Source organism: Homo sapiens, chromosome 18, assembly GCF_000001405.40.
Source record: "Homo sapiens chromosome 18, GRCh38.p14 Primary Assembly".
Lineage (NCBI taxonomy): Eukaryota > Metazoa > Chordata > Mammalia > Primates > Hominidae > Homo > Homo sapiens.
The window spans coordinates 1,276,352-1,289,972 of NC_000018.10; the positions used below are offsets into that span (position 1 = coordinate 1,276,352).

Genomic DNA, 13,621 nt, shown 5'->3' on the forward strand with positions numbered 1-13,621 from the left:
ATTGCATCTCCTTCTCTGACACTGACTCTCCTGCCTCCATCTTCTCCTTATAATGACTCTTGTGATTATACTGAGCCCATCTAGATAATCAAGATAATTTTCTCAAGATCTTTAACTTAATCATCTCTGCAACATCCTTATTGTCATAGAGAGTAACACATTAACAGGTTCCAGATATGAATATTTTTGTGGGGGGTGTCTATAAGCCTTCCCCAGCTATCTTTTACTAGTTAATAATTTTTATATTAAATTCTTCTTGTTAAAATTATTTATGTGGTTTCTGACTTGTCCCTGATACATAGAGAAAACGAAGGATAAGATTGTAGATACTAACCTAAACATGTAAGTAACTAAATGCAAACTGACTAAATACTCCAAGTAAAGTACTAAGATTCTTAGACAAGTTAGCAACAACAAATAAACAAATAACAAATAAAGGTATATGCTGCTTATAAGAGGTACAAGATTTATATAAAGATAAAAAAGTTGAAATTAAAAGAATATAAAACAATAAATGTCAAAAATGTTCTACTTTAAAAAGTTGGCACAGAAATACTTTAAAAAAATAAAAAGCAAAATATATTGCTAGAAATTTCGTAATGATACAGGGGTCATTCCACTGATTAATAATAAAAGTCACATTTTTTTAAAAAAGCACAATGAAACATTTAACAAAGAATACCATGTAAAATAAGCCTTGATAAATTTCAAAACATTAAAATAATTTCCTTACCATAGTGGGATTAAACTAGAAATAAATAATAAAAACTACTAAGTGTTTAGAATTAAACAATACATTTATAACTAAATCCACAGATGTAAGGCAAAGTAGAAATTATAAAATATTTCACACTGAATGCTAATGAAGGTATTGCATACTAAAACTTGTAGGGTGCAGCTCATAATATGCTGATTAGAGAGAGGCTAACCTTAAATAAGTATATCAGAAAAGAAGAAACATTAAAAATTAGTGACCAAATCTTCCACCTCAAAACACTAGAAAAGAAAGAGCAAATCAAAACTGAAGAAGTAGAATCAAGGAAATAGTAAAAAATAGGACCAGAAATCAATAAAATAGAAAATAGATATAAAATAGAAACAAATAATTGATTCTTAAAGATATTTACAAAATTGATAAATTCCCACAAAATTAATGAAGGAAAAAGTATAGAAACCACAAATTACCAATAACAAAATAGAAACAAAGACACTACTACAGATCTTAGAGACATTTAGCAGATTATAAGAGGACATTATGAATAAATACATGCCAATAAACATGCTAATTTGAATGAAATGAATAGTTTAATAAAACACATTATACCAAAATTTATGAAAGAAGAAATAAATGATATTTAAAGTGCAATACCAATTAAATAAGTTGAACATTATTTAAAAATCTTCTTACACCCACAAAAGTCTATACATAGTGGGCTTTAAAAGTGAATTTTTCAAAATATGTAGGAAATAATGAGATATGCAAAATCTTCCAGAGAGTAGAAAAAGAACAAACACTTTCCAACACTTTCTTTAAAAACAGCAGGTTCTTCTGAAATCTACTAATTTAGATGCAAAATAATAAAGAATTATTTAGCAAATAGAATGCAGTGGTATGTAAGAAGAAAATACATTACTACCAAATGGGTTTATTCCAGGAATTCAAGGATGATTTAACACTCAAGATAAATGTAATTATGAATTAACTTATGTGATTAATTCAGTAGGTACTAGAAAAGTATTTAATAATATTAACATCCTTTTTGATTGAAAAAACAGTCTCAGAGGGAGACAAGATGGCTGACTAGATGCAGCCAGGAAGAACATCTCCCACTGAGAGAGCAGACCATAAAGGCCAGAACGCTCCAGGCAGATCTTCAGAAGGAAGTCTTGAGAGGGGATGCAAGGAGGAAACAGACTCTAGGCTAAAGAGACAGGAAGCTGGGAACCCTGTATGGGGCTGCCAAGCACCAGGACTCATTCCTGGCCCCAGCAGGTCCTGGGTAAAAAGTGAGTTAATAGGCAAGGAGGAGCCACCTCTCACCATGGACTTTTGGAATCCTAGCTGCAGAAGACCTCACGACCCCCACAGTCATTTCAGCTTGCAGAGAGAGCTGCTTGGACAGCTAGCATGAACAGGACTCCCCTCTTTGCAGAGCACAGAGGGTTTGGTAGTTGCAGTAGAGCATGGCCAGAAATGCCCATCCCCCAAGGCTTACCATGCTCCTCCAGATGGCTTTGGCTTCTGTTGACAGTTGGGTCTGGACAGAGTAGGGGTGTCTTACCTGTGGGATAAAGCCAGTCTAATCTGAGTGCTCCCCTGTCTGCCCACCTTTCCTGGGGTCCCTTCCTGGTGGCACCTGCTCATAGTGCAGCCTCAAATGCCCAATGCGGGTGCTTCCCGGTGGCCACTACCATACCTCTTCTGCTGGCAGACCCTGTCTAACCATCAAGGAGCTTCAGCAGATGGGCCCTCACCAATGTACACACATTCACAGTCTCCCCCACTCCTTCGATGGCACACACTTGCCCATAGCCTTTTCCCACCACTTTGATGGCATGTGTGCACACGTGGACCTCACCAACCCAATGAAGTGCTTTTGCTGGCACCCCCATCAGGGTGTTGTTGCAGGCACACTGGAAATACCTTGGCTCCTCCAGTGCAGCAAGTGCTTAACCTAGAGGGGCCAGAGAACAAAGCTGTAAGCCTGGTTCCAGCTCCTCAGAGTTAGAGCATGCAGGCCAGGAGTGCTGAGTTGAGCCCAGATCTTCTGAAATCATCCAGAAATAAAGCCTGTTGACTGAACCCAACTTATACTGCAATCAAACCCTCAAGGGCCTCAAAGAGTATAATAGTAAAAATCCCCATCCAAAGGACACCAACATCAAAGACTAAAGAAACAGCCCACAAAGATGAGAAAGAACTAATGCAAAAATTTTGGCAACTCAAAAAGCCAGAGCAACTTCTTACCTCCAAACTTGCTCCCCAGCAATCATTCTTAACCAGGCTGAAATGGCTGAAATGATGGACTTAGAATTCAGAACCTAGATGGCAACGATGGTCATTGAAATTCAGAAGAAAGTTGAAACCCAATCCAAGGAATTCAGTAAAATGATACAAGAGCCATTTTAAGAAAGAATCGAGTTGGTCTGATAGAGCTTTAAAACTCACTACAAGAATTTCATAATACAAACAGAAGTATTAACAGCAGAATAGATGAGGCTGAGGAAAAAATCTCAGAGCCCAAAGACTAGTTATTCAAATCAACTCAGACAAAAATTGAGAAGAAAGAATCAAAAAAATGAATAAAACATCCAAAAAACTTGGGATTATGTAAAAAGACAAAAACCTATGACTCTTTGGCATCCCTGAAAGACAAGAAGAGAAAGCAAGCAATTTGGAAAACATATTTGAGGATACTATCCATGAAATTTCTCCAAACTCACTAGTGAGGTCAACATTCAAATTCAGGAAATTCAAATAACGCTTTTGAGATACTATATCAGACGACCATCCCAAGACACATAGTCATCAGATTCTCCAAGATCAATATGAACGAAAAAACATTAAAGGCAGCTAGAGAAAAGGGGTAGGTCATCTAACAAAAGAACCCCATCAGACTAACTGCGGACCTTTCAGCAGAAACTCAACAAGCCAGAAGACATTGAGAGTTTATGTTCTGTTCAGCATCTTTAAAGCAAAGAAATTCCAACTAGGAATTTCATACTCATCCAAACTAAGCTTCATAAACAAAGGAAAAATAAAGTCCTGTTCAGACAAGCAAATGCTAAGGTAATTCACGACCAAAAGACATGCCTTACAAGAGGGCCTTAAGGGGCTGCTAAATGTGGAAATGAAAGGCCATTACCAGCCATCACAAAAACACACTAAAGTACATAGACCATTGACAGAAGAAAGCAACTACACAATCAAGTCCACATAACAACCAGCTAACAACACAATAACAGGATCAAGTCCACACATATCAATAATAACCCTGAACATAAACAGGCTAAATGTCCCATTTAAATGGCACAGGGTACAGTGGTAAGTTGGAAAAAGAAGTAAGACCCAACTACATGCTATCTTCAAGAGACCCATCTCACATGCAGTGATACTCATAGGTACAGATTAAAGGGATGGAGAAAATTCTACCCAGCAAATTAAAAACAGGAAAGAACAGGGGTTGCTACTTTAATTTCAGACAAAGTAGACTTTAAACCAATGAAAAAAGGACATTGTATAATGTAAAGGGATCAATCCAACAAGAAGACTTTACTATCCTAAAAATATATGCATCCAAAATCAGAGAACCCAGATTCATAACACAAGTTCTTAGAGATGTATGGAGAGACTCAGATAACCACAAAATAATAGAGAGAGATTTCCAACACCCCACTGACAGCATTAGACAGATAATTGTGGCAGAAAACTAACAAGGATATTTGGGACCTAAACATGACACTTGACCCAGTGGACCTAACAAACATCTACAGAGGAATTCACCCAACAATAGCAGAATATACGTTGTTCTAATCTGAACATGGCACATACTCTAAAATTGACCAAATGCTCAGCCATAAAGCAATTCTTAACAAACAAAACAAAACAAAACAAAAACAAAATCACACCACCCATACTCTTGGACCACAGCACAATAAAAATAGAAATCAATGCTAAGAAGATTTCTCAAAACCATACCATTACATGAAAATTAAACAAACTGCTAATAAATTAGTTTTGGCTAAACAATAGAAGTAAGGCAGAAATCAGGAAATTCTTTGAAACTAATGAAAATAAAGATATAAAATACCAGAATCTCTGGGACACAGCTAAAGCAGTGTTAAGAGGAAAGTTTATAGCACTAATGTCCACATCAAAACGTTAAAAGGATCCCATGTCAATATCCTAACATCACAGCTAGAGGAACCAGAGCAAACCAACCCCAAAGCTAATAAAAGAAAAGAAATAACCAAAATTAGAGCAGAACTGAATGAAATTTAGATGTAAAAAACCACACAGAAGATCAATGAAACAAAATATTAGTTCTTTGAAAGAATAAATAAGATTGATAGACTGCTAGCTAGACTAATGAAAAATAAGATTGTATCCAAATAAACACAATCAGAAATGACAAAGGGGACATTACCACTGACACCATATAAATACAAAAAACCTTCAGAGATTATTATGAACACCTCTATACACACAACATAGAAAACCTAGAAGAAATGGATAAATTTCTAGAAACACAACCTTCCAAGATTGAGCCAGGAAGAAATTGAAACCCTGAATAGACTGATAATCAGTTTCAAAATTGAATCAGTAATAAAAAGACTACCGACCAGAAAAACCCTAGACCAGAGGGATTCACAGCTGAATTCTACCAGACATATAAAGAAGAGCTGATAACAAACCTGAACCACACTAAAACTATTCCAAAAAATTGAGGAGAAGGGACTCCTCTTTAGCACATTCTATGAGGCCAGAATCATTCTGATACCCAAACCTGGCAGTGACACAGTGAAAAAAAATCTTTAGACCAATATCCTTGATGAACATAGATGCAAAAATCCTCAACAAAATGGAAGAAAACAAAATCCAGCAGCACATCAAAAAGTTAATTCACCATGATCATTTGGGCTTTATTCTTGGGATGCAAGGTTGATTCAACATACACATATCAATAAATGTGATTCATCACAAAAACAGAACTAAAAACAAAAACCACATGATCATTTCAATAGATGCAGAAAAAGCTTTTGATAAAACTCAACATCCCTTTATGTTAAAAACTCTCAACAAAATAGTTATCAAAGGAACATACCTTAGAATAATAAGAGCCATCTGTGTCAAACCCACAGCCAATATCATACTGAATGGGCAAAAGCATTCCCCTTGAGAACTGGAACAAGACAAGGATGCCCACTTTCACCACACTTATTCAACATAGCGCTGGAATTTCTAGTCAGAGCAACCAGGCAAGAGAAAGAAATAAAAAGCATTCAACCAGGCAAGAGAAAGAAATAAAAAGCATTCAACCAGGAAGAGAGGAAGTCAAACTATCTCTCTCTTTGCAGATGATATAATTTTATACCTAGAAAATCTCACAGTGTCTGTCCAAAGGTTCCTAGACTTGATAAACAACTTCAGCAAAGTTTCAGATACAAAATCAAAGTAAAAAAATCAGTAGCATATCTGTATACTCACAACATCCAAAATGAGCATCAAATCAAGAACACAATCCCAGTCTCAATAACCACAGAAAAAAATAAAATACCTAGGTATACAGCTAATCAGGGATGTGAAAGTTCTTTGCAATGTGAATTACAAAATACTCTTGAAAGAAATCAGAGACAACACAAACAAATGGAAAGACATTTCATGCTCATGGATAGGAAGAATCAATATTGTTAAATGAAATGGTCCTACTACCCAAAGCAATTTACAGATTTAATGCCATTCGTATCAAACTACCAATGACATTCTTTACAGAATTAGAAAAAAAAACTATTGTACAATTCATATGGAACCAAAAAAGAGCCCAAATAGCCAAAGCACTCCAAAGCAAAATGAACAGAGTCAGAGACATCACATTACCCAATTTCACACGATACTACAAGGCTACAGTAACGAAAACTGCATTGTCCTAGCACAAAAACAGACACATACAGCAAATGAACTGAATAGAGAATTTGGAAATAAAGATGTATATCTACAACCATTTGATCTTCAACAAAGGCAACAATAACAAGCAATAAAAACTTCCTATTTAATAAATGGTTCTGGCAGAACTGGCTAGCCATGTGCAGAAGAATTAAACTGGACCCCTTCCTACTATCATATACAAAATCACCTCAAGATTGATTAAAGACTTAGATGTAAAACCTAAAACTACAAAATCTCTAGAAGAAAACCTAGGAAATATCATTTCTGTTATTTCCAGAATGGTATAAATACCATTCTGGATATAGGCCTTGCCAAATATTTCATGATGAAGACTCCAGAAGCAACTGTGACAAAACTAAAATTGACGAATGGGACCTAATTAAACTAAAGATCTTCTGCACAGCAAAAGAAACTATCAATAGAGTAAACAGACAGTCTACACAATGGGAGAAAATATTTGCAAGTTATGCTTCCAACAAAGGTTCTAATATCCTGAATTGATAAAGAACATAAACAAATTAACAAGCAAAAAACAAACAACCCTATTTAAAATAGACAAGGACATGAAGAGACACTTCTCAAAAGAAGAAATACAGATGGTCAATAGGCATACGAAAAAAATGCTCAACATCACTAATAATTACAGAAATGCAAATCAAAACCACAGTGAGATACCATTTCATACTGGTCAGAATGGCTATTACTAAAAAGTCAGAAAAACTACAGATGCTGGTGAGGCTGCAGAGAAAAAAGGAATGCTGAAACACTGTTGGTGGGAATGTAAACAGTTCAGCCACTGTGGAAAGCAGTTTGGAGATTTCTCAAAAAATCTAAAACAGAACTACCATTCAACCCAGCTATCCTGTTACTGGGTATATACCAAAAGGAATATAAATCATTCTACCATAAAGACACATGAATGTGTATGTTCATCACAACACTATTCACAATAGCAAAACATGGAATCTACCTAGATGCCCTTCAATGGTGGACTGGATAAAGAATATGTGACACACACACACACACACACACACACACACACACACACACACAGTGGAATACTATGCAGCCATAAAAAAGAATGAAATCATGTTCTTTGCAGCAACATGGATGAAGCTGGAGACCCTTATCCTAAGGGAAATAATGCAGGAACAGAAAACCAAATACTGCATGTTCTCACTTACAAGTGGCAGCTAAACTCTGAATACAAATGAATGCAAAGAACACCAGAGACTACTAGAGGTTGTAGTGTGGGATGAGAGTGAGTATTGAAAAACTACCTGTCGGGTATTATGCTCATTACCTGGGTGACAAAATAATGGCAAGCCCCTGTGACACACTATTCACCCATATAACGAATTTGCATGTCTACCCTGTGAATATAAAATAAAAATTGGAAAGAAAAAAGCAAATTAGGAATAGAAGAGAACTTCCTAAACTGAAAAACAGTATTTAGTAATATCCTACATAAAAATTATCATAATGGCAAAACATTAAGTGCTTTTTCCCTGAGATTCACAATGAGACAAGAATTTCTGCTATTTCCACTTTTTTTTTTTCTGCAACATCATACTAGTCACAAAATTCTGCAATGAGGAAAAAATGAAAACAAAATTCATGAGGTTTGGATAGGAAGAAGTAAAACTCTCAGGGTTTGCCGAAAAGATAATTGTGTGCATTTAAAATTCAAAATAATCTGTAGACAATTTAAAATTAATAAATGATTTAGCAATATCACTGGACATAAGGTCATTATAGAAAAATTATTTAAATTTATATCTCAACTGATATGGTTTGGATCTCTGTCCCCACTGAGGCTGGAGGTGGGCCTGGTGGGAGGTGATTGGATCATGGGGGTAGAGTTCTCATGAATGGTTTACTGCCAGCCCCTCGGTGCTAGTCTTATGGAAGTGAGTGAATTATCGTGAGATCTGGTTGTTTTAAAAGTGTGTAGCATCTCTCCCACCTCCTATCTTGGTCCTGCTCCTGCCGTGTAAGACGTCTGCTCCCACTTTACCTTGTGTTATGAGTGAAAGCTCCCTAAGGCCACCCCAGAAGCAGATGCTGCCACGTGCTCTGTACAGGCTGCAGAACCATGAGCCAATTAAACCTCTTTTCTTTGTAAATTACCCAGTCTCAAGTATTTCTTTATAGCAGTGTGAGAATGACTAATACACCAACAAAAATTAGAAAATAATTACTTTGAGACTACTATTTACAACATGAAAAAAGATGAAATACCATGGGAAATATAACAAAAGGCCTTCATTGACAAAATATTTTTGTCTTCTTTCACTCATTTCTTTATTGAGTTTAATCAGGTCTTGTTTCAAATCCTTTCTGTTACTCAATTTCTGAGATGGTTAATTTCAGATTCATGTATTCTCTCATGTGAAATTTATTTTTTAATGATATTTAATTAAACGTGAAGGGCTGTGTAATGATATTCCTCTGCTACATGTTTTTTGTTTGTTTGTTTGTTTGTTTGTTTGTTTTTTGAGACAGGGTCTCGCTCTGTCACCCAGGCTGGAGTGCAAGTAGTGTGATCTCGGCTCACTGCAACCTCCGCCTCCCGGGTTCAAGCAATTCTGCTGCCTCAACCTCCTGAGTAGCTAGGATTACAGGCGCTGACCCCCATGCCCGGCTGATTTTTTTAATATTTCTAGTAGAGACGGAGTTTCACCAAGTTGGTGGTCAGGCTGCTCTTGAACTCCTGACCTCAGGTAATATGCCCGCCTCGGCCTCCCAAAGTGCTGAGATTATAGGCGTGAGCCACAGTGCCCGGCCCATGGTTGTTTTATATAGCCTATGTTCATCAGCTAGAAAGCTTTTATGCTTACTTTCTATTTTCTTCTAACAGTAACTTTATTTAAAACTTTTAAAAATAGCTTTATTGAGATAAAATTCTTCTACCATACTATTCACTCATTTAAGGTGTATGACTCACATTCATTTAAAGTGTGTTTTCTAAGGTCATGCAACCATTATCACAATCTAATTTTAGAACATTTTAATCTCCCTTAAAGAGAATAATCACACCCATCAGCTGCCACACCCCACCCCAACCCCACCCTTTTCACTCACTCCCCCATACCACTGAGAAATCACTAATATACTTTCTATCTCCATAAATTTGCCTTTTCTGGCCATTCCATATAAATGAAATTATACAATATATATATTCTTCTGTGACTTGCTTCTTTCACTTATAATGTTTCTACATTATATTGCATTTATAATGTTACTACAAGGTTCACCCATGTAGTAGCTGTATTTCATTCCTTTTTATTCCTGAATAATATTTCATTGTATAAATATACCACATCGTATTTCTCTTTTCATCAGTTGATAAACAATTGATTTGTTTTACTTGTTGATTGTTATGAATAATGCTGTTAATATTTGTGTACAAGTTTTGAGTGGACATGCGTTTTTTATTTTTGTGGGCATATACCAGGGAGTGGAATTGCTGGGCACGTGATAATTCCATGTTTAACTCTTTGAAGATTTGCCACTCTGTTTTTTAAAATGGCTGTACTCTTTTACATCCACATGGCAGTGTACAAGGATTCTTCCTCATCTTCACTAACACTTATTATTGGTCTTTTAAAAATTATTGTATTCTACCAGTGTGAAGTGGTATCTTGTGGTTTTGGTTTACGTTTTCCTAATGATAAATAATGTTGAGAATCTCTTCATGTGCTTATTGGCCGTTTGTATATCTTTATTTTTTTAATGAAATGTCTCTCCATATCCTTTGGCCACTTTTAGTTTTTTGTTTTTTTTTTCTGTCTTACTACTGAGTTGTAAGAATTCTTTACATATTCTAACAGTTCCTTCTCAAATATATGATTTGCAAATATTTTCTCCACTTCTATGGGTTGTCTTTTAACTTTCTTGATAATATCATTTGTAGCACAAAATCTTATACTTTTCATGAAATCCAATTAAAAAATTTCTCTTTTGCTACTCCTTCTTTTGTGTTGCTGCTAAGAAAACACTGCTTAACTCCAGGTCATGAAGATTTACCCCAGTATTTTTCCCTAAGAGTTTTATAGTTTTGGCTCTACATTTAGGTCTTTGGTTCATTTAGAGTTAATTTTTTTGTATGGTGTGAGATAGGGGTTTAACTTCATTTTTTTGCACGTGCTTGTGCCAGCACTATTTGTTGAAAAGACTTCTTTCCAGTTAAGTTGTTTTGACATTTTTTGGAAAATCTGCGAATCATAAATGTTTATGGACTTACGGGTTTATTTATGAACTTACGGGTTTATTTCTGGACTTTCAATTCTGTTCTATTGTTCAATTCTGTCCTTACACTAGTGTGACACTGTCTTGATTACAATAGCTTTGAGGCAAGATTCAAAATTGGGAAATGTGAGCTCCCCAACTTTGTAATTATTTTTCATAGTTATTTTGACTATTTTGGATCTTTTACATTTGCATATGAATTCTAGGATCGCCTTGCCAAATTCTGCAACAAAGCCAGGTAGGATTTTGAAAGGGATTTTTGTTGAGACTGTAGATACATTTGTTGAGTATTATCATTTTAACAATATTTAGTCTTCTGATCCAGAAACATGGAATGTCTTTTGATTCGTTTAAATATTTTCTAATTTTTGTCAACAATTTTTGCAGTTTTTAATTTACAAATCTTGCACTTCTTTTATTAACACCTCAGAGGAGTGCTATTATAAGTGAAATTGTTTTATTCACTTTATTTTCAGGTTGTTTGTTGCACCTGTATAGAAATACAATGGCTTTTTTACATTGTTACTAGATTTTGAAGCCTTGTTGAACTTGTTTGTTAGTTCTAATAGTTCTTAGTGGATTCTTCAGAATTTTATATACAAAATTATGTCGTCCATGACTAGAGATAGTTCACATTTTAAAAAAAATCCAGATGTCCTTTATTTCTTTTCCTTGACTAATTGCCCTTGGCAGAACCTTCATAACAATTCAAATAGAAGTGGCTAGAACAAGTATCTTTGTCTTGGTCTTTATCTCAGGGAGAAAACATAATACATGCTGGTCTCTCACCTTTGTCTGGTTTGGGTATCAGAATAATGATACTGGCCTCATTAAATGAGTTGGAAGTGTTCCCTCCTGCTCTATTTTTGGATGAGTTTCTGAAGGATTAGTGTATATATATATATTTTTTGAATGTTTGGTAGAATTCATCAGTAAAGCCATCTGGTGCTGGGCTTTTCTTTGTGTGAAAATGTTAAATTACTAGTTTGATCACTTTATCTGTTGTAAATTTACTCCAATTTTTAATTTATTTTTGAGTAAGTCTCAGCAGTGTATGTCTTTGTAGAAATCTGTCCAATTTATTTATGTGAATTTTGGCATAGAGTTGTTCATAGTACTTATTTATAATCCTATTTCTATAAAGTTGGTGGTGATATCCCCTTTCATTCATAACTTTCATAATTTGAGTCATCTCTCTTTTTTCCTGGTCAACCTAGCTAACATTTGTCATTTGTTTTTTTCCCCACAAAGATCAGGTTTTGTTTATTTTTATTTTCCCTATTATATTCTATTCTCTATTTTATTAGTTTCTGCTCTAGTATTTATGATATCCTTCCTTCTACTTGCTTTTAGTTAAATTTGGTCTTCTTTTTTTAAAAAAATTTTAAAGGGCATACTTAGGTTATTAATTTGAAACATTTCTTCATCTATAATATGGCCATTATAGGTATAAATTTTTCTCCAAGCACTGTGTTAGTTGCGTCTCATAAGTTTTGTAAGACATGTTTTCATTTCCAATCATCTCAAAATATCTTCTAGTTTCCTTTTTGATTTCTTATTTGACCCATTAGTTACTTAGGGTATGTGCTGTTTAATTTCCATATATTTTGAATTTCCCAAATTTTCTTCTGTTTTTGATTTCTAATTTACTTCAGGAGGTCAGAGAACATACATTGTATAACTTCACTAATTTTAGAAATATTGAAGCTTGGCTGGGTGTGATGGCTCATGCCTGTAATCCCAAGACATTGGGAGGCTGAGGTGGGTGGATAGCTTGAACTCAGAAGTTCAAGACCAGCTTGAGAAATATGGCAAAACCCTGTCTCTACCAAAAAAATACAAAAATTAGATGGGTTTGGTGGTGTGTGCCTATAGTCTCAGATACTGGGAAGGTTGAGGTGGGAGGATGGCTTGAGTCCAGGTGGTGGAGGTTGTAGTGAGTGGAGTGTCACTGCACTCCAGCCTGGGCGACAAAGCCAGAACCTTAATCCCCCTTCCCCACCCTTGCAAAAAAAAATTATTGACGCTTGTATCGCCTAACATGAGTTACCCTATAGAATGTTCCATGAGAGCTATATAATATGTATTCTGCTGCTGTCGTACAGTATGTACTTTAGATATCTGCTATGTCCCATTGGTTTATAATGTTCAAGTTTCTTATTTTCCTGTTGATTTTCTCCCTAGCTGGTCAATTCTTTACTGAAAGTGGGATATTGGGTTCTTCAACTATTACTGAATTATCTGTTTCTCCCTTCAAGTTTTTTAGCTTTTGCTTCGTCTTTGGGCACTGTGTTGTATATACATTCCAAAGTTTTATCTTTCTGGTGGGTTGGCCCTTTAATAATGATGAAATGTCCTTCTTTATCTCTAGTAACATTTTTAAGTTTATTTGTCTGATATTAGTATAGCCACTCCAAGTCTTTTATAGTTGTGGTTTACGTGGCACATCTTTTTCCTTCCTTTTACCTTCAACTTATTTGTATCAATATATTTGTATTGGTACCTAGCATATTTTTCCTTTGTTTTACTCAACTTATTTGTATCAATGTATTTGTATTGGTAGATGGCATATAGTTGGATCTTGTTCTTTTATCTCATATGACAATCTCTGCCTTTTGATTGGATTGTTTAGTTTACTTAAGATTTATATTAACTTAACTCCAAGGAAACAGAAAAACTTTACTCCTATAGAGTCCCATTTAC

The 13,621-nt window shown here is 35.2% G+C and overlaps 1 long non-coding RNA gene across 4 annotated transcripts in view; it reads right to left on the bottom strand.

Annotated features, from left to right (window-relative positions):
- The window catches only part of LINC00470 (long intergenic non-protein coding RNA 470), a 91,319-nt gene that overhangs the window by 8,041 nt on the left and 69,657 nt on the right, over positions 1-13,621 (bottom strand). The gene's annotated exons all lie outside the window — the stretch shown is intronic.